The sequence below is a fragment of the Homo sapiens genome, chromosome 16, assembly GCF_000001405.40.
Source record: "Homo sapiens chromosome 16, GRCh38.p14 Primary Assembly".
In the NCBI taxonomy this organism is placed as follows: Eukaryota; Metazoa; Chordata; class Mammalia; order Primates; family Hominidae; genus Homo; species Homo sapiens.
In genome coordinates this window covers 19,020,062-19,042,378 of record NC_000016.10, presented here as the reverse complement: position 1 = coordinate 19,042,378, position 22,317 = coordinate 19,020,062, and the positions used below count along the sequence as shown (strand labels likewise).

At 44.4% G+C, this 22,317-nt stretch overlaps 1 protein-coding gene across 9 annotated transcripts in view, besides 1 other annotated feature; it reads right to left on the bottom strand.

The window, feature by feature from the left end:
* The window catches only part of TMC7 (transmembrane channel like 7), an 80,009-nt gene that overhangs the window by 21,564 nt on the left and 36,128 nt on the right, over window positions 1-22,317 (bottom strand). For 6 of the 9 annotated variants that reach the window (XM_047434662.1, NM_024847.4, NM_001324265.1 and 3 more), the window contains 6 exons: window positions 20,583-20,750; window positions 19,184-19,266; window positions 12,010-12,155; window positions 6,556-6,703; window positions 4,332-4,505; window positions 1,933-2,090 (listed from right to left, as the gene is read on the bottom strand). In XM_047434662.1, the coding sequence (XP_047290618.1) occupies window positions 1,933-2,090; window positions 4,332-4,505; window positions 6,556-6,703; window positions 12,010-12,155; window positions 19,184-19,266; window positions 20,583-20,750 (877 nt within the window). The remainder of the gene's footprint in view (window positions 1-1,932; window positions 2,091-4,331; window positions 4,506-6,555; window positions 6,704-12,009; window positions 12,156-19,183; window positions 19,267-20,582; window positions 20,751-22,317) is intronic. The other 3 variants (NR_136733.1, NM_001324263.1, NM_001324268.1) reach the window with 2 other exon arrangements.
* Window positions 12,048-12,592: an enhancer, noted in NCBI's record as "H3K27ac-H3K4me1 hESC enhancer chr16:19041109-19041653 (GRCh37/hg19 assembly coordinates)". NCBI's record gives its function as "activates a minimal SCP1, AML or CMV promoter by ChIP-STARR-seq in primed H9 embryonic stem cells {active_cell/tissue: H9 hESC(primed)}" and the evidence as "EXISTENCE:reporter gene assay evidence [ECO:0000049][PMID:30033119]".

Genomic DNA, 22,317 nt, shown 5'->3' with positions numbered 1-22,317 from the left:
ACGTGAGGAGATCCTGTCTCTACAAAAAATTTAAAAATTGGCTTGGCATGGTGGTGTGCACCTGTAGTCCCAGCTACTCGAGAGACTGAGGCAGGAGGGTCACTTGGGCCCAGGTGGTCAAGGCTGCAGTGACCTACGATCATGCCACTGCACTCCAGCCTGGACCCAGTCTCAAAAAAAATAAATAAATAAAATGGAAAGAAAAGAATGGGGGAAAGAGCGAACCCACGCCCTCTGCTCACTGTTCTCATTACTAACACCACCTTCTGTGCCTCTGCTGGGATACAACAGGAAGGACACGGCACCCCTGATGAGGTTTCCTTAACTAAAAACTGACACAGAATCTACCAAAAACTCTGAATCTCCACAGTCATTTATAGCAACTATGGGCATAGAAAAACAAATTAAACACACCAGGAAGAAACAATGGACGAAATCCAGAATAGGAGCTATTCTACAGGAAAATGATCCAGTTTCTTCCACAAATCAAAGGCCTAACAAAAGGGGAGGGGAAACTCTGAAAATAATAAAAGAGATTTAGGACACATGACTACCAAACAGCATGTGGGCCTTGTTTGGATTCAGCTTTGAACAAATCAAACATGGAAAACCATCTGCAACCCCACTGGGGAGACCGCCTCAATTTTATTAGGTGTGATGATGGTTATATATTTAAAGCTCCCATCACTTAGAGATATAATGAAGTTGGCTGGGCACGGTGGCTCACGCCTGTAATCCCAGCACTTTGGGAGGCTAAGGTGGGTGGATCATCTGAGGTCAGGAGTTCGAGACCAGCCTGGCCAACATGGTGAAACCCCATCTCTACTAAAAATATATTTTAAAAAATTAGCCAGGCATGGTGGCCCGTGCCTGTAGTCCCAGCTATTTGAGAGGCTGAGGCAGGAGAATCGCTTGAACCCGGGAGGTGGAGGTTGCAGTGAGCCAAGATCACGCCACTGCACTCCAGCCTGAGCAACGGAGCAAGTCTCCGTCTCAAAAAAAAAAAGGTATAATGAAGTGTTTACAGATGAAATGGCATGTTGCCTGAGATTTGCTTAAAATAATCTAGCAAATTAGGAGGGAATGGATGGAAACGAGATTAGCAAAATGCTGGGAATGACTGAAATGTAAGTGAAAGGCATATGGGGATCATTACACTATGCATTCTGTTTGAAAACTTTGAGACCGGGCATGGTGGCTCTTGCCTGTAATCCCAGGATTTGGGAGCTGGAGGTGGGAGGGTCACTGAAGCCCAGGAATTCAAGACCAGCCTGGGAAACATAACAAAACCCTGTCTCTACAAAAAAAAAAATTTTTTTAATTAGCTGGGCATGGTGGTGCATGTCTGTAGTCCCAGCTATGTGGGAGGCTGAGGTGGGAGGATTGTTTGAGATCAGGGATTTGAGACTGCAGTGAATTATGATCACATCACTGCACTCCAGCCTGGGGGACAGAGTAAGACCCCATCTCAAAAAAAAAAAAAAAAGAATCAAAGAAAATTTTCAAAATAAAAAATGTTTGAAATAAGATGCAAATGCAATCTAAGGCATTTGAGAAACAGAAAGAAAACTCTCAAGTCCTGCACAGTCCCACCTGGTCCTCTCCACTCATTTGTGTTAACTCCCTGGACTCTGCCTTATAGCTGTCATTTCTGACAGCTTTAGAGCAACCCCTCCTCTCAGGGTCCCAGCCTGTGCCCTGTGCTATTATATGAAGCAAAAATATAATACCAAGGAGTAGACTTTCAAATCAAAGACATTTCACCATATATACAAATTCTGATTCATTCATGGGGGCTGTCTGAAGGTTGAGGAGGACTCTTGGCTCAGCAGGAAAATGCACTACAATTGATTAGCGATGTCTGCCATGGGCAAGAGAGTGGGCAGGTAGTGACTGGCTTGACATGCCTGCCATCTTCATGTTAGGCATTACCTAAGGATTGTCAGACGGATCTCAAAGCCTGGAGAATAATCCTCATAGCGGATGATCTTGGCAAAGATCATTGGGGTGATAAAATTGGCCAGCGTGATCACAATAGACGGTAGATACAATATGAAGAGGTTCTCTCCAAAAACCATCTTGTCGATTTCCTAGGAGGATAACAAAACTTATTAGTCAGGAGTATATGAGGAAGTTACACCACAAATAGATAGAACAAAAAAGAACTCAACTATGTGTGTTGGGCAAACAAAACGTATTTGTCATTCAACATGGCCTGTAAGCATAAGTCATCTCGTTCCTTTTTTTTTTTTTTTTTTTTTTTGAGATGGAGTCTCCTTCTGTCACCCAGGCTGGAGTGCAGGGACATAATCTCGGCTCACTGCAACCTCCGTCTCCCAGGTTCATGCGATTCTCCTGCCTCAGCCTCCCGAGTAGCTGGGACTACAGGCACCCCCCACCATGCCAGGCTAATTTTTGTATTTTTAGTAAAGACAGGGTGTCACCATGTTGGTCAGGCTGGTCTCAAACTCCTGACCTCAGGTGATCCACCCGCTTTGGCTTCCCAAAGTGCTAGGATTACAGGCATGAGCCACCTCGCCCGGCCGCCATCTCCTTCTTCAGATATTCAAAAAGAGGTATCTAGTACTGTGCAGGAAGAAAACCAGGATCTACTGGATTTATTAAAGGGATGTATAAGAAGACCCATGTATTCTGTATAAACGGGCAATTTAAAGTATCTTCAAGGGTGTAGAATTGATTTGATTTGAAATTGAAATAGCAATTCCCTGCTTTCACAGTAACAGACTACCTGGACAATATATAGCCATCCGCAATAAAAAGTAAATTTCCTAGCCTCCCTTGTAGCTAGGTACTACCATGTGACTAAATTCTGGCCAAGGGGATATAAGTGGAAGTTTTTAGTGTAACCCACAGGTTATGCCCTTTAAAGGAAGAAATGTGCCCTCCTTAGCCCCTTCATCTCCTTCCCCTTGGCTAGAATGTGGCCATGGTGGTGAGCTATCTTGTACCATACAGAAGACCATACCCAGCCAGGTGTGGTGGCTCATGCCTGTAATCCCAGCACTTTGGGATGCTGAGACAGGTGGATCACTTGAGGTCAGAAGTTCAAGACCAGCCTGGCCAAACTGGTGAAACCCTGTCTCTACCAAAAATACAAAAATTAGCCAGGTGTGTTGGCGGGTGCCTGTAATCCCAGCTACTCGGGAGGCTGAGACAGGAGAATGACTTGAACCCGGGAGGTGGAGGTTGCAGTGAGCCGGGATCGTGCCACTGCACTCCAGCCTGGGTGACAGAGTGAGACTCTGTCTCAAAAAAAAAAAAAAAAGAAAAAAGAAAGAAGAAAAGAAAACCATATCCTAGGGAGGGCAGAGCCACAAGATGAACGGAACCTGGACCCCTGATGATTGATTGCATAAAACAGAGCCACTAGACAAACTTGGAATTTTAAAACCACTGCTATTTTAGGTAAACCAAGGCCTTAGTTCAAAAATAACAGTCAGGGATAAAACCCTAGTCCAGCCTAGTTTTGAATATTGCAAATTCCAGGAGCAGTAAGGATCTCAAACACTACACTTTAGATGCTTTTAAAATTTTCTCTAAGGCCAGGTGCGGTGGCTAACACCTGCAATCCCAGCACTTTGGGAGGCCAAGGTGGGTGGATCTCTTGAGGTCAGGAGTTCGAGACCAGCCTGGCCAACATGGTGAAACCCCCGTCTCTGCTAAAAATACAAAAATTAGCTGGGTGTGGTGGCACATCCCTGTAATGCCAGCTACTAGGGAGGCTGAGGCATGAGAATCACTTGAACCTGGGAGGTGGAGGTTACAGTGAACTGAGATCACACCACCACACTTCAGCCTGAGCGACAGAGTGAGACTCTGTCTCAACAACAAAAACAAAAAAGTTCTCTTAAAAGTGAAAACTGGGCAGGGCACAATGGCTCACACCTGTAATCCCAGCACTTTGGGAGGTGGAGGCGGGCAGATCACCTGAGGTCAGAAGTTCAAAACCAGCCTGATCAACATGGAGAAACCCAGTCTCTACTAAAAACACAAAATTAGCCAGGCGTGGTGGCACATGCCTGTAATCCCAGCTACTCGGGAGGCTGAGGCAGGAGAATCATTTGAACCTGGGAGGCAGAGGCTGCAGTGAGCCAAGACAATGCCATTGCACTCCAGTCTGGGCAAGAAGAGCAAAACTCCATCTCAAAAAAAAATAAAAAAGTGGAAACTGATCACCTCTGATTTTCAGGTCTTGATCATATCAGCCAAACTTGTATCTCCATATGTAAAACAGAAATGACGATGGTATCTACCTCACAGATTTTCAGTGCACTAGGCATAATGTCCAGCCAGAGTACAAGTTAATTTACCTTTTTCATGTGCTCTTGCGAGAAGACAGTTGCTACGTATATTGCATAAAAGCATGCCCCTAAAACAGCCAGAACAATACAGTTCAAAAACAGTCTCAAAGAGTAAATGCGTATTGTTTCTTCTGAGGTCCTTTCTGCTATTTTCTGCCGCATTCTTTCTTCCTCCAGATCTGCCTGAAGATAAAAGAAAATTCACTTGTGAGCAGTGGGATGAAGGGATACTCAGGGATAGAAATTGATTCATCATTCTCTCCCCATCCATCTTTAAGAGTTCTAGCCAGGCATGGTGGCTCACTCCTGTAACCCTAGCACCGTGGCAGGCCAAGGTAGGAGGATCACTTGAGCCCAGGAGTTCAAGACCAACCCTGGCAACATAGTGAGACCCCATCTCTACAAGAAAACCCAGAAGAATTAGCTGGGTGTGGTGATGAGTGCCTGTAGTCGCTGCTACTCGGGAGGCTGATGTGGAAGATTGCTTGAGCCCGGGAGTTCGAGTCTGCAGTGATGTATGATCACGTCACTGTACTCCAGCCTGGGTGACAGAGTAAAATGCTATCTCAGAAAAAAAAAAAAAAGACATCTTTTAAATATTCATCTCCCCCAAGAAACCATCCTAGACTTAGCCCAACTACTTTTTTTCTTTCTTTTTTTTTTTTTTTTTGAGACAGAGTCTCGCTCTGTTGCCAGGCTGGAGTGCAGTGGTCCAATCTCGGCTCACTGCAACCTCTGACTCCCTGGTTCCAGTCATTCTCCTGCCTCAGCCTCCCGAGAAGCTAGGATTACAGGCATGCACCACCATGCCCAGCTAATTTTTGTAATTTTAGTAGAGACGGGGTTTCACCATATTGGCCAGGATGGTCTCAATCTCCTGACCCTGACCTGCCTCGGCCTCCCAAAGTGCTGGATTACAGGCATGAACCACTGCGCCTGGCCTAGCCCAACTATTTTTTATGTCTACTAAAGACCTAAGTAAAGACAGAACCTCCTATTTAAGACTGCAATTGGGCTTTGCAATAAATGTGAAAACAGAACTATAAACTATTCATATTACTTAAATATAGTATGTGTCATTTCTTCAAACACAATACAGGTGAGGTGTTGTTATTTTTTCTTTTACACAATGTAGTAGTCTCTGCTTTTATTAGGATAATTTAATCAGTTCGTATTTAGTGTAAGAAAGAATAGATTTGATTTGATTCCTTCCATTTTATTATGCTTTTGATTTATTTGTCCCCTCCTCCTTTTCTTTGATGGGTTTATTTTTATTAACATGCTATTCTTTACTCCTTTCTCTCCTTATTCATTTGGAAACTCTCATGTACTTTTTTTTTTTGAGATGGAGTCTAGCTCTGTCACCCAGGCTGGAATGCAGTGGCACAATCTAGGCTCACTGCAACCTCTGCCTCCTGGTTCAATTGATTCTCTTGCCTCAGACTCCCAAGTAGCTGGGACTACAGGCATGTGCCACCATGCCCAAGTAATTTTTTGTATTTTTAGTAGAGATGGTTGGAAACTCTCTTGTACTTTTTTTTTCTTTTTTGAGACGGAGTCTCGCTCTGTCACCCAGGCTGGAATGCAGTGGTGCAACCTCGGCTCACTGCAACCTCTGCCTCCCGGTTCAAGCGATTCTCTTGCCTCAGACTCCCAAGTAGCTGGGACTACAGGCATGTGCCACCATGCCTGGCTAATTTTTTGTATTTTTAGTAGAGATGGGGTTTCACCGTGTTAGCCAGGATGGTCTCGATCTCCTGACCTTGTGATATGCCTGCCTCAGCCTCCCAAAGTGCTGGGATTACAGGCATAAGCCACCACGCCCGGTCTGTACTTTTTCATATACTCTCCATCTCACACTATTGTCATAACATTCCCTCCTCACTCCCATTTCTCCTGGTATAAGTAGTGTTTATGACAGGTCCTCCTCAGGTGGAAAAATAACAGTGTAAAGTAGCAGGGTGTGGGGAAAGACATCACCTTCTTCCAGCCACTGCATCCCCACCCCACTTCCCAGTCCCAGTTCACCAGTGCTCCTGTTCAGGTCTAGGGTAATCAACCCCAGTAACGTGTTCGCTGTGAAACGTTCTTGAAAGCTACAGAGGGGTAACTTGCTAAGTACCAGGGACAACCTGTCCCCGACCCTTGATCCTCTGCAAGCTGAAAACTCAGGCTCCAAAGGCAGGACCTTGCTGGTGAGGACCCCACCACGGACAAACTCAGGAGCACTCACTCGGAGCTCGTACCGCAAGCTGCTGTGCTTCAGATCCGCCATGCTGCGGTTAGTGATGCAGAAGTCCCAGCCGGCAAATATCTTGTTGCAGTAACTCTGAAAGTGCTCCTCACTCCGAATCAGGTTGATTTTGAATCCTTCCACCGACCTGACCCCAAAACACAATCATCCTTCTTATAGAAACAACAGCAAAAGAGAGTCCCCTGAATTGGCTGTGTCTGAAACTTAAAAAGTTAGACATAGCTGCATTTTCAGCCCATTGTGACATGGTCAAGTTTGGGGCCATTCTAAATATATGTGGCAGCTAACAAGGTATCTCATTGTTGATCCTTTCCTTTTACCCATCTAATCGCTTCAATTACAGCTAGAATAAAATCCAAATTTTCTTCCCCAACTTTTATTTTAGATTCAGGAGTACATGTGCAGGTTTGTAACCTTGGTAATATTGCATGATGCTGAGATTTGGGATAGAAATGATTCCATCATCCAGGTACTGAGCACAGTATCCAATAGTTCTTCAATCCTTGCCTCCCTCTCTCCCTCTCCACTCTAGGATTCCTCAGTTTCTTTTGTTGCCATCTTTATGTCCATGAGTACCCAATGTTTAACTCCCACTAATAAGTGAGAACATGCGGTGTTTGGTTTTCTGTTCCTGCATTAATTTGCTTTGGATAATGGCCTCTAGCTGCAACCATGCTGCTGCAAAGGACATGATTTCATTCTTTTTTATGGCTGTGTAGTATTCCATGGTGTATGTGTACCACATTTTCTTTATCCAGTCCTCCATTGATGGGCACCTAGGTTGATTCCGTTTCTTTGCTATTGTGAATAGCACTGTGATGAATATACGAGTGCATATGTCTTTTTGGTAGAACGATTCATTTTCTTTTAAAATCCAAACTCCTTAATACAGCCTAGATATCCTATATGATCCAGCTCTGCTGTCGTCTCTCCTCCCATGTAACTATACTTGCTTTCTCTCCTTTCTATAAACACACAAATTCCTGTTCCTGCCTCTGGGACTCTACCCTTGGGAATTCCCACTACCATCCCCAAGGATGGTGCTCCTCTGACCCTCCCTATGGCTGATCTCCTTCCCATCCTTCAGGTTTTGGCTCAAATAACCCCTTTATAATCCCTCACCTCCCCATCTAAGGCTATAACCCCCACTTCAAGTCAGTCCCTTTTATTTATTTATTTATTTATTTACTTATTTATTTATTTTTGAGATGGAGTCTCACTCTGTTGCCCAGGCTGGAGTGCAGTGGTGCAGTCTCGGCTCACTGCAACCTCCACCTTCCGGGTTCAAGCGATTCTCCTGCCTGAGCCTTCCGAGTAGCTGGGATTACAGGCGCCTGCCACCACGCCCAGCTAATTTTCTGTATTTTTAGTAGAGACAGGATTTCACCAGGTTGGCCAGGCTGGTCTCGATCTCCTGACCTCATCATCCATCCGCCTCGGCCTCTCAAAGCGCTGGGATTACAGGCATGAGCCACCGCACCTAGCCCAATCCCTTTTATTTAATTCACAGGAATGACACTAACTTGCAATTATCTTATTCATCTGTTTACTGCTTGTAACTCCTTACTCTAACTAAATTTTAAATTCCTTGAGAGCAGGTACCCTGGCTATCTTGCCACCTTTATATGGACTATATACTTTGGTTAACATGCAACTGATGGATAAAGCAATGAATAAATGACTTAAATTAACTATTTAGTGAGCACCTGTTTAGGTCAGATACAATTCTGTTGCATATTTTTATTCATTCAAATGCTTTCATGGAAAAAATACACCTGGCACTTGGTATAAAACACCAGATGCCATGCACAGTCCTCTGTAGATGAAAGAGGTTATTTTTAGGATTTGCCAGTGAGGCATGAAGACAATAGAAATGGAAGGAATTGTTATGATCAGTCATTCTGCCAAAGGATTACAGCAAATAATTTATGTCAGAACAACATGGAGTGCTTTCCCCAAATCCAGGTTCCCAAATGGTTTCTTACCTGAGATTTTCAATTCGATAGGTCTCATGTGGGCTCCAGAAATATGCCATGTTATAAAGCTCATGCTGACCCATCTCAGTTGCAAGCCTCTGATTCAGACCAGACCTACATTTTATTTTATTTTTTACTTTTTGAGATGGGGTCTCACTCTGTCACCCAGGGTGGAGTGCAGCAGTGTGATCATGGCTCACTGCAGCCTCAGCCTCACCAAGTTCAGGTGATCCTCCCACCTCAGCCTCCCGCATAGCTCAAACTATAAGCACACGCTACCACACCTAGCTAATTATTTGTATTTTTTGTAGAAATAGGGTTTTGCCATGTTGCCCAGAGCTGGTCTTGAACTCCTGGGCTCAAGTGATCCACCCACCTTGTACTCAGAAAGTGCTAGGATTACAGGTGTGAGCCACCGGGCCTGACCCAGAACTACATTTTACAGATGAGAAAACTAAGATCCAGAGGAAGGAAAATTATTTCCCTATATCCAGAGAGTTAGGTGGCAGAACTGGTGCTACTTTGATGATAAGGATGATGATGATGATAATTTTAACTTCATAAATGTCTATAAGGTGCCAGGCAGAGTGCTAAGATTTCATTCACCTGCCTAGTTTATGTTAATCCTCCCAGCAACCCTTCCAGGATGCACATTTCACAGATGAAGAAAATGAGGCTCAAAGAGGTGAACTGGCATTCCAGCGATGGTCTCTGGCCTACAAAGTCCATACTCTTTGTCACTCTGTGGCACATCCACTTTCTGGGCCACAGCAGGCCTTTCTCCCATTACATCACACCCAGCCCTCCCTCCATGACCTTCCCCAGAAAGCAATCAAGCCCTTGAGCTTGAACGAGATTCACAGGTAGATTCGCTGTGCAACTAACAAACCTTATTCATTCGGCTGGGTGCGGTGGCTCACGCCTGTAATCCCAGCACTGTGGGAGGCCGAGGTGGGTGGATCACAAGGTCAGAAGTTCGAGACCAGCCTGGCCAACGTCGTGAAACCCCATCTCTACTAAAAATACAAAAATTAAGCCAGTCGTGGTGGCGTGCACCTGTAATCTCAGCTACTTGGGAGGCTGAGGCAGAAGAATTGCTTGAACCCGGAAGGCAGAGGTTGCAGTGAACCAAGATCATGCCACTGCCCTCCAGCCTAGGTGACAGAGCAAGACTCGTCTTGAAAAACAAAAACAAAAAACCTTCTTCATTCTTCAGGGCCCCCTCCAAGGCTTTGGAAGACTCTAGCAATGTGTCCCTATGGTCTTTTTTTTTTTTTTTATCATTTACAAAACATATTTTCATACTCTTTGTCTTAAAGATGGCACTTCCAAATTGTCTACCCTGTAGGTCCATAAAACTTGGATCTCCCCTGGCACAATCACGGAACCCCAATCAACCAATATTTCTTTACCAAGCATCTCTTTGCCCCTCAAAAGCAGCCTGAGGCTGCTTCTCATTTGTACATAGTACACTTGGGTGGGGGATGGACGCTCACTAGTTCACGTTCATCTCACAGATTCTAACTCAGGATACAAGTGCCCAGCTGGGCATTGGGGTTTTCTTTGCAATGGTGAATCCTGGTCCTTATGGAGGGCCAGATCAATCCACAGCACCCTGGTCTCTTCTGCACCTGTGATAAGGAGCTTCACAGCTCCATGGCTTACAACACTGTGCATGCTCTCACAGGGACAATCAAGTGGGCAAGAAAGAGGCCCATCCATGATACTGTCTGCCAAGCAACCCCCCTGGCGCAGAGATGGCAAGCTGTCCATCAAAAATTTGTGGTCCATCTTCTATAATACAGTGTCACTGCTGGGTAAATAGCTGCCCAGCCAGAAGCAATGTTTCCTGGCCTCCCTTGCAGTTGGCTATAGTCATGTGACTGAGCTGTAGCCAATGGGATGTGAGTGATGTACACCACTTCCAGGTCTGGCCTATAAATACCATCCGCATGGTTCTCCTCCGTGAGTTTTCCTTTCCCATCCCTTGGCAGGACCTTCGAAGCCACATGCTGAAGATGGCTGAACTTTGGTCAACTTTAGTCCTAGAATACTATAAGATGAATTCTACCACACTAACCTGTGCCCCCACCCAGGACTGTCATGTAAAAGAGAAATACAGGTTTTGTTTTTGTTTTGTTTGTTTGTTTGTTTTTGAGACAGAGTCTCGCTCTGTCGCCCAGGCTGGAGTGCAGTGGTACGATCTTGGCTCACTGCAACCTCCGCCTCCCAGGTTCAAGTGATTCTCCTGTCTCCTCCTCCCAAGCAGCTGGGACTACAGGTGTGTGCCACCACGCCCAGCTAATAAAGAAGAAATAAAATTTCTATTGTGTTTGGGTCTTTGTGCCTTTTGTACCTGTTGTTTGTTAAGGGAATTAATACTCTTCTCTTTTCTTGGGAATTGCTCTCTCTCCCTAAACCACTTGTCTCCCACAGGAAAAGTCATGTTGTCATAGGACCCCAGCCCCTGGCCACAGCTGAAGTGCTCGCACAGTGCTGGGCACTTGAACCACCAGGGGCTCATCGCAGACACACTGCTCCCCATGGCAACGGTGGAAGGGTCACGGCTGGGAACCTGAATGAAGCAGATACAACAAGTCTTTTCTAAGGATTTCTGCACCTGTGACCCAGGAGGTCAAGGCTGATGCAAACTATAAGATGCCCTATTTCCCACCATTTAAGAAAGGCACCACTACACCTAAGAATTGAAGACGAGGGATTCTTACTTTTGATATCGTTCCTAAGCCATGGCTCCATCTTTGTCCTTCCTGTAATTTGAGTTTCCTCCCTTCCTTGGATCTGTGAGCCACTCAATAACCCTCAGAGCTAGGTTTCTGCTACTTACAACCCAGTAGAGACCTAGTTAATATACACACCTAAGCAAAGGAAGGGGTATGTGTGCAGTGGGGTGGGATTGCCAGATGTGTTCAGTAATGATTGAGTGGAGAACCCCAGGCTAGGTGCGGTGGCTCACACCTGTAATCCCAGAACTTTGGGAGGCCAGGGTAGGCAGATCACCTGAGGTCAGGAGTTCAAGACCAGCCTGGCCAACATGGTGAAACTCTACTAAAAATACAAAAATTAGCTAGGCATGGTGGCACGTTCCTGTAGTCCTAGCTACCCAGGAGGCTGAGGCACAAGAATCACTTGAACCTGAGGGGCAGAGGTTGCAGTGAGCCGAGATCCCGCCACCGCACTCCAGTCTGTGTGACAGAGAAAGACTCTGTCTGGAAAAAAAAAAAAAAAAAGAAGAACCTCAGTCTGCTACTCCATCCCAAATCCTGACTTGTATTTCTCCCAGGTCTCTTCAGCTGCCAATGGACTCACAAACCCTTCCCCACAAAACCCATCATTGGACTCCACTCATCCTTTAGGCAATGGCTTCCAGAGCTCCCATATCTCCAATAGCCTCCAGCCATCAGGGGTAATTCAGAGAGAATGCAAAGGCAGACTTTACCTTTTCACTATCCAAAGAAGGCTCAGGGCCAGGGAGGCGATTGTGCTTAACAAATACGCCAGGGGCAGATCATAGGTGAAGTTCTGAAATTTCACCCCATCAATGGTGTAATGTCCGTAAAAGAGGCTAGTTTCCTCCAGGAAACCCTGAAACGAAGCCAAGAGCATGAAGTCAGACTGGTCAGCTTACTGCAGGGAACCAGAAGAGTAGTCCCTGCCTCAAGGAACACAAGTTCCAGTGTCCCCTTTCCTCTCTGTATCCCCAGAGACTGGAACAGCCCCAGAGGCACAGGGAGTATTCAGTGTTTGGTAAATAAAGCACTGATAAAACCCTGGCATTAAAAATGCACAGGTGGGCCGGGCAAGGTGGCTCACGCCTGTAATCCCAGCCCTTTGGGAGGCCAAAGCGGGCAGATCTCCTGAGGTCTTGAGTTCAAGACCAGCCTGGCCAACATGGCAAAACCCCCGTCTTCACTAAAAATACAAAAAAATTAGCTGGGCCTGGTGTTGCGCGCCTGTAACCCCAGCTACTCGGGAGGCTGAGGCAGGAGAATCACTTGAACTCGGGAGGCTGAGGCAGGAGAATCACTTGAACCCGGGAGGCAGAGGTTGCTGTGAGCTGAGATCATAACACTGAACTCCAGCCTGGGCAACAGAATGAGACTCCATCTCAAAAAAAAAAAAAAATGCACAGATGGCCAGGCGTGGTGGCTCACACCTGTAATCCCAGCACCTTGGAAGGCCGAGGCAGGAGGATTACTTGAGCCCAGGAGTTTCAGACAAGCCTGGGCAACACAGAGAGATCCCTATCTCTACAAATTTTTTTTAAAAAAATTAGCTAGGCATAGAGGTGCATGTCTATGGTCCCAGCTGCTCAGGAGGCTGGAATAAGCCGTGTTTGTGCTACTGCACTCTAGACTGGGTAACAGAGCAAGACCCTGTCTCTGAAAGAAAAAAAGCAAATATAACAAGCCAAAACTGAAATTAAGAATAAAATTCCATGTGCCATAGCATCGAAAAGAATAAAACATTAGGACTAAATTTAACTAAGGAAGTGCAAATCTCGTGCCGGGCACGGTGGCTCATGCCTGTAATCCCAGCACTTTGGGAGGCCGAGGCGGATAGATCACAAGGTCAGGAGATCAAAACCATCCTGGCTAACACAGTGAAACCCCGTCTCTACTAAAAATACAAAAAATTAGCCGGGTGTGGTGGCGGGCGCCTGTAGTCCCAGCTACTCGGGAGGCTGAAGCAGGAGAATGGTGTGAACCCGGGAGGCGGATCTTGCAGTGAGCCGAGATTGTGCCACTGCACTCCAGCCTGGGTGACAGAGCAAGACTCTGTCTCAAAATAAATAAATAAATAAATAAAATAAAATAAAACAATTAAAAATTTTTTTTTAAAAAGTGCAAATCTCGGCCGGGCACAGTGGCTCATGCCTGTAATCCCAGAACCTTGGGAGGCCGAGGCGGGTGGATCATGAGGTCAGGAGCTCAAGATCAGCCTGGCCAACACAGTGAAACCCTATCTCTACTAAAAATACAAAAATTAGCCGGGCATGGTGGCATGTGCCTGTAGTCCCATCTACTCGGGAGGCTAAGGCAGGAGAATCACTTGAACCCGAGAGGTAGAGGTTGTGGTGAGCCGAGATCACACCACTGCATTCCAGCCTGGGCAACAGAGCGAGACTCTGTCTCAAAATAATAATAATAATAATAATAATTAAAGAAGCTCTAAAGAAACGGACAACATCCCATGTTTATGGATCAGAAGATCTATGGCCAAATTCCTCAAATTGATTTACAGATTCAACATCATCCTTGTTAGAATCCTAGCTGGCTTCCTTATAGAAAAACTGACAAGCTGATCCTAAAATTCATATGGAATCGCAACACACCCAGAAAAAGAGCCAAAACAACTTTGAAGAAGAAGAACAGTAAGGCCTGGTGGCTCAGAACACTCTCTGACTTCTTCTCCTTCTTTTTTTTTAAATAAAAAAGTAGAGATATGGTCTCGCCATGTTGCCCAGGCTGGTCTCCAACTCCTGGGCTCAAATGATCCTCTAGCCTCAGCCTCCCAAAGTGCTGGGATTACAGGTTTTGAGCCACTGTGCCCGGCTGACTGACTTCTTATGGTGGGAATGATTGAACACCTCAAACACCTCCTTGGATGGCAGGAAAACTCCAGGAGAGTGAAGAAGAGAACAGATATAGCAGAAACATTGTAGGTAGATAATACATAGAGGTTCCCTACAGCATTGTTTATAAAGGAAGGAAATGAGAGGAAATCTGAATGTCCATACAGGGATTGGGCTAGAACACTAAAAATCCATATTATGAAATATCAAGCAAGACCATGTAAGTGCACAGAGAAAGGTCAGCGGTCAAGTAGGCTGTAAACCATGGGGTTAAATGTTCAGTGACCTCTGGGGAGGGATATTTTCATTTTTTACTCTATAAATTCTGTATTTTTCATGACAACTGTGCATTCTTGTGTGTGTGTGTGTGTCTTCTTAAAACAAATTTATTGAAGCTGAGCATATTTACGTTATACAATTGTGCATATCTGTATTTTAAAATTATACAAGACAACCGTGCATTCTTATATTATCTGGGTAATTAAGTCATGTGTTAACTGGAAAAGAAAAAGTAGAAGCAGAAGACTCCATTCTCCTTTCAACTCTCCCAAAGGCCATAAAAACGTGTCCAACCAGAAGAAACCTGTTTATACTGCCAAGGGCTGATATCAGGGCTGTCACCAACCTCTCCCTAAAAATAATGTAACAATTACAGGGGAAAGGTCGGCTGGGCCTGGAAAATATTTTCTGATTTGATAATGAGCTTGGTTCAATTGTTTTTAAGAAAAACAAGCCCCTGTTTGATCTCTCTGGCCCTCTTTCACTTGTGCCTATTTACATTTATATTATTAACAATAACATTAAATGAAAATTCAGTTTCCCAGCCACACTAGACATATTTCAAGTGCTCAAGAGTTAGTGGTTCTGGGCCGGGCACAGTGGCTCACACCTGTAATCCCAGCACTTTCGGAGGCTGAGGCAGGCAGATCACTTGAGGTCACGGGTTCAAGACCAGCCTGGCCAACATGATGAAACCCTGTCTCTACTAAAAACAAAATTTAGCTGGGCGTCATCATACACACCTGTAATCCAGCTACTTGGGAGGCTGAGGCACAAGAATTGCTTGAAACCAGGAGGCAGAGGTTGCAGTGAGCCAAGATTGCACCACTGCACTCCAGCCTGGTGACAGAGCGAGACTCTGTCTTTAAAAAAAAAAAAAAAAAAAAAAAAAAGGTCAGGTGTGGTGGCTCATGCCTGTAATCCCAGCACTTTGGGAGGCCGAGGTGGGTGGATCACTTGAGGTCAGGAGTTCAAGACCAGCCTGGCCAACATGGTGAAACCCTGTCTCTACTAAAAATACAAAAATTAGCTGGGTGTGGTGGTGGGCGCCTGTAACCCCAGCTACTTGGGAGGCTGAGGCAGGAGAATCGCTTGAACCCAGGGGGCAGAGGTTGCAGTGGGCCGAGATCATGCCAATGCACTCCAGCCTGGGTGACAGAGCAAGAATCTGTCTCAAAAAACAAACAAAAAAGAGTTAGTGGTTCCATTGTTATACAGCACAGGTCCACATTCTCCAGATCATTGCAGAAAGTTCTCTTTCAGACAGGCTGTTATCATGCTTACTTTATTGAACATCTATAATTAAGCGCAGCTAACTCTCCTATAAAATTTTTCCTATCAGGAAGAAGGTTACAGTGTGCGAAGAAACTTTTTTTTTTCACAAACAGAAACTTTTCTTGTGGGATGTAATCTAAAGAAATGGGGTTAACAGCAGCTCTGGGATTTGATCCTAACTTTGCTTTCTTTTTTTTTTTTTTGAGACGGAGTCTCACTCTGTCGCCCAGGCTGGAGTGCAGTGGCATGATCTCGGCTCGCTGCAAGCTCCACCTCCCAGGTTCACGCCATTCTCCTGCCTCAGCCTCCCAAGTAGCTGGGACTACAGGTGCCTGCCACCACGCCTGGCTAATTTTTTTCTATTTTTAGTAGAGACAGGGTTTCACTGTGTTAGCCAGGATGCTCTCGATCTCCTGACCTCATGATCCACCCGCCTCGGCCTCCCAAAGTGCTGGGATTACAGGCGTGAGCCACTGTGCCAAGCCATCTATTTTTTTTTAACTTTTTTTGCATAGTAGACATTTGAACACCCACCCAACAATTCCCCTGGGTTGTTTTTAGGAAAACGTGAGATCAGAGATGTAAAAGGGTTTTTTCAAAATCAGGTGCGGCATAGTGGCTCACACCTGTAATCCCAGCACTTTGGGAAGCCGAGACAGGTGGATTGCTTGAGCTCAGGAGCTCGAGACCAGCCTAGGCAACATGGCAAAACTCTGTCTCTACAAAACAAACACACGCACATACACACACACACAAATTAGCTGGGCATGGGGGTATGCACCTGTAGTCCCAGCTACTTCGGAGGCTTGAGGTGAAAGGATGGCTTAAGCCTAGGAGGCAGAGGTTGCAATGAGCCAAGATTGTGCCACTGCACTCTCTGAGCAACAGAGCCAGATCTTGTCTCAAAAAGAAAAAAAAAAAAGGGTGGGGGGCTTTTTCAAAATCAAATGCAGTGGACAAATTCAAGGCTTTCTACCAATTTATTCAGAAAAGTAGAAGCTCAATGGTATGGCATTTGTTTATTTGTTTTTTTGTTTTTTGTTTTGTTTTGTTTTGTTTTGAGACAAACTCTCCCTCTCATTGCCCAGGCTGGAATGCAGTTGCGTGATCTCAGCTCACTGCAGCTTCGGCCTCCCAGGTTCAAGCAATTCTCCTGCCTCAGCCTCCTAAGTAGCTGGGATTACAGGCACCCGCCACCATGCCTGGATAATTTTTGCATTTTTAGTAGAGATGGGGTTTCACCATGTTGGCCAAGCTGGTCTTGAACTCCTGACCTCAGGTGATCTGCCCGCCTTGGCCTCTCTGAAGTGCTGGGGTTACAGGCATGAGCCACCGCACCCGGCCGGTATGGTATTTTGATACCAGTAATTTTCAGAAAGTATTTCTGAAAAAATAAAAATACTTATTTGTATTTCTTAAACACCTAGAGCAGTGGTTCTCATCTGGGGGTAATTTTGTCCACTAGGAAACATTTGGCAATCTCTGGAAACATTTTTGGTTGTCAGAGTTGGAAGAGGGCAGTGCTGCTGGCATCTAGTGGGTAGAGACCAGGGATACAGCTCAGCATGCTACTGTGCACCAGATAGCTCTACACAACACAGAGTTATCTAATCCACTGGGCACGGTGGCTCATGCCTGTTCCCCCAGTACTTATAATCTCATTGCTTTTTTTCTGAGACAGCGTCTCACTCTGTTGCCCAGGCTGGAGTGCAGTGGTGCAATCTCGGCTCACTGCAAGCTCCGCCTCCCGGGTTCACATCATTCTCCTGCCTCAGCCTCCCGAGTAGCTGGGACTACAGGCGCCCGCCACCACGCCCTGCTAATTTTTTGTATTTTTAGTAGAGATGGGGTTTTACCGTGTTAGCCAGGATGGTCTCGATCTTCTGACCTTGTGACCCACCCACCTCGGCCTCCCAAAGTGCTGGGATTACAGGTGTGAGCCACCACACTGAGCCAAAATCTCATTGCTTTTAGCCAAGTGTAGTGCACGCCTGTAGTCCTAGCTACTTGGGAAAATCGTTTAAGCCCAGGAGTTTGAGATTACAGTGAGCTACAATTGCACCACTACACTCTAACTGGGCAACAGAGCATGATCCTATCTCTAAAAAAATAAAAAATAAATAAAAAAAAAGAATATCAATAGTGCCAAGTTTGAAAAACCCTGGTCTAAAGGGCAAAGATAGCCACTTTTCATAGCTGCAATCTTATTTGATGAAAAAAGTGAAATAAAAAAATGAAAAACCACAAAATCTGTTTTTTAAGATGGGGTCTTGCTCTGTTGCCCAGGCTGAAGTGCAGTGGTTCAGTCTTGGCTCACTGCAGCCTCAACCTTCTGGGCTCATGTGATTCCCCTACCTCAGCCTCCAGAGTAACTGGGACTACAGGTGCACGCCACCACGCCCAGCTAATTCTGTTTATTCTGTGTAGAGATATGTTGCCCAGGCTGGTTTCAAACTCCTGGCCTCAAGCAATCCTCCTGCCTCGGCCTCTCAAAGTGTTGGGGTTACAGGTGTGAGCCACTGCGCCTGGCCAAAATCATTTCTTTAGAAGGCGATAATAAAAACCTTTTACAACTACCATAAAAGCAAAGAGATTAAGTCCATTTTAGAGTTGGGGTGGTGGTGGGGGATGTTAACCTTGGATTGACTTATAAGGGATTTCAGAGAATCTTCATACGCCCATGTACATGATATGCAGGTATATGTGCATATCATCTGAAAGTGTGAGGTTGTGCATCGCACATGTCCCTGTGTGTAATTTCTGGAAAGAAGAGCTATGTCTTTCATCCATCCAGTCTGGGACTCCAAAATGTTGGGGTTTATCGGTGTCAGAGAAATTGTAAACATTCTATCTGGGTTCATTTTCACTGAAGCTTCTTTCTGTGGGGGACCTCGGTATTGTGTTGCAGATCAATACAAAGATTGAAGGACTAGAGGCCGGTATGGTGGCTCACGCCTATAACCCCAGTACTTTGGGAGGCCAAGGAGAGTGGACCACCTGAGTTCAGGAGTTCCAGACCAGCCTGGCCAACATGGTGAAACTCCGTCTCTACTAAAAATACAAAAATTAGCTGGGCGTGGTGGCACACACGTGTAATTCCAGCTACTCGAGAGGCTGAGGCAGGAGAATCACTTGAACCTAGGAAGCAGAGATTGCAGTGAGCCAAGATTGCACCACTGCACTCCAGCCTGGGCGACGGAGCGAGACTCCATCTCAAAAAAATAATAATAATAAATAAAAAGAAAGGACTAGAAAAAGGCCAATGGCCGAAAGTGATAAAGCATATTTCCTGACATTCTAACAGGCGATGGTGAACATTGTTCTTTCTGATGAGGTAACTGCAAATCCTGTTTCATTTACTGGTACATGTGTCAACCAACACTTGTGTTTAGCTCTCACTGCAGAAATTTGGGAAACTGATCTTTAAATCAATCAATTTTTAGTAGATTGAGGAGCTAAACAAAGGATTATGTTAAATACTTACAGTGCCAGAAAGCAAGTCTATGATATAACTGTAAAAGTAAATGAGTCCAGAACTGCTTACTGGATAGACTGTACATTGTTTATCTGTAAGAAACAAAAACCAGAATGTCAGTGGAAACAGTTTTAGTCTCTATAACCTGCCTGGTTTTTTTGTTTGTTTGTTTGTTTGTTTGTTCTGAGATGGAGTCTCGCTCTGTCATCCAGACTGGAGTGCAATGGCGTGATCTTGGCTCACTGAAGCCTCTGCCTCCTGGGTTCAAGCGATTCTCCTGCCTCAACCTCCCAAGTAGCTGGGATCATAGGCATTCACCACCACACCTGGCTCATTTTTGTATTTTTAGTAGAGATGGGGTTTCGCCAGGCTGGTCTTGAACTCCTGACCTCAGGTGATCCACCCACCTCAGCCTCCCAAAGTGCTGGGATTACAGGCGTGAGCCCCCGGACCCGGCCACAGCCTGCCTGTTTTTCACTATTTGTGTGTATAAGCATGTACAGTCATGCATGGCTTAACGAGGAGGATACAGTCTGATAAATATGTCCTTAGGCAATTTCGTCATGCGAACATCACGGAGTGGACTTACGCAAACCTAGATGGGATGGCCTACTACACACCTAGGCTGTATGGTATGGCCTATGCTCCTAGGTTACAAACGTGGACAGCACATTACTGCACTGAATACTGTAGGTAACTGCAACACAATGTTAAGTATTTGTGTATCTAAACATATCTAAACAAAGAAAAAGTACAGCAAAAATCCAGTATTATAATCTTAGGGGACCACCATTGCATATGTGGTCCATTGTTAATTGAAACATTGACATGGGGTACATGACTGTATATGTATATTACATTTAGAAATGTCATATATATTTGCATATTTGCACATAGATATGTTTGTGTATTTGTGATTTGCCATTTTCAGTCCAAACCCCAATGTGTCCAATACAGTAACATCTCTTTCTCCTTCTACTTCTAATGTTTCCTTCACTATTCTCCCCACACATCTGGGGATATGTCTTTTTTACATATTTTGTATGTAAGTCCACATGTAGAGCTTGTGTTTTGCTTGTATGTGTGACTATCAATGCTCCAGATAGAGGCTGCTCCATCAGCTTGGGCTCCAGAGCACACAGTGGACATGGACTGTGAGTGAGAAATGAACCTTTGTGGTTATTTCTCACTCACAGTCTCATACTGTTATGCTGTCGTGCCTGCATGCTGTTATTCCACAGCAGCATGAGCATTATGGGGTCACTTGTTTCTGCAGCATAACCTAGACCATCCTGACTAATACAGTCGCCCAAGAATTAGAATAAAGATTCTTAGCAAAGGAAGCATTGTAGCAAGGTACATGGTGAAAAACAAACACACTTCGTAGTAAACCAGGCCTTACACTCACCCATGTCTTTGAAAGGAATGAGCACGAAGCTGCTGTTGGTGATCTTGTATTTCGTGAGTAAGACTGGGAGCAAAACCAGCATAAAGATGATCAGAAATATCACCAAATTCAGCAACACCAGGAATCTCAAGAAGGAGAAATAGGACTGAATCCCAGTGCCAAATTTCCCTGGAAAAAACAAACCCGGACATCACTGACCAGGGATATTGATACACTACACATCATAGATTCAATCAGCCACAAAAGCTGAAGCTGGAGGAATCAGTAGCTGGAAGGAGGAAGAAACGTTTTATTTTTTTCTCAATTGTTAGCTTTAAGACTCGATCTTCTAGTGTTTTCACTTTTCACCTGTAGATCTACAATCAATCTTGAATTAATCACTTGAGAATCGTATGAGGGAGGGCTCAATATTTATCTTTTCCTTATATGAATCTCTAGTTGACTCAGCACCATTTATTGGCTGCCTTTTTTGGAAATAATCACCTGAACATATATGTATGAATCTGTTTCTAAACTCTATCCTGTTCCATGGGTCTACATGTCTATCCTTACACCAATGCTAGACTGTCTTAATTACTGCAGATTTGTAAGACTTGTCACATGGTATCTTTAAGCTTTGTTACTCCTCAAGATTGTCTTAGATATCTTTGGTCTTTTGCATTTATGTACAAATGTTAGAATTAGTGTTTTAATTTTCACGTGCAATCTGCTAAGATTCTGATTGGGATTACATAAAATATACAGGTCAATTTGAGGAGAAGTGACATATTTATAATATTAAGTCTTCTGATCCATCAACATGGTATATTTAGGTCTTCCTTAGTTTTTCTCAATAATACTATTATAGTTTTCTGTGCATAATTATTGCATATGATTCTTTAGATATATTCCTAGATATCTGGCTTTTATTTATTTATTTATTTATTTATTTATTTATTTATTTTTGACACCATGTCTCACTCTGTTGCCCAGGGTGGAGTGCAGTGGCGTGATCTCAGCTCACTGCAACCTCTGCCTCCTGGGTTCAAGGAATTCTCACGCCTTAGCCTCCCGAGGCTGAGCCACCACGCCCAGCTAATTTTTATGTTTTTAGTACAGATGAGGTTTCACCATGTTGGCCAAGCTGGTCTCGAACTCCTGACCTCAGGTGATCCACCTGCCTCAGCCTCCCAAAGTGCTGGGATTATAGGCGTGAGCCACCACGCCCAGCCCTGACATTTTTGATACTATTGTAAATTGTATCATTTAAAAAATTTCACTTTCTAAATGTTTGTTGTTGGTACATGGAAATACAATTCATTTTATATAGAGACACTAACATTAACAATAAACCTTGTTACATTAACATTAATAGTTCTTTTTAATTATCTACATGCATATCATTGTCATCTGCAAAAAAAAATGACATTTTATTTCTTCCTTTCCAATTATTATCCTTCCCCCCGCCCATCCTACTACATTGGCTAGAACTTCCAGGATGATTTTGAATAGAATCTGTGATAATCGGCACCTTTTTCTCATTCTCAATCTCAAGGAAAGAGCTTTCAATATTTCATCATTAAGTATGTTGTTTGCTGTATAATGTTTATAGGTTTTTAAAATCAAAATTAAGAAAGGTCTTATCTACTTCTTATTTGCTAAAAATGAGAACTGAAGTTTATCAGAGCTTTTTCTGCATCTGTTGGGATGATCATATTTTTTTTCTTTTATTCTGTTTTGTGGTGAATTACATCGA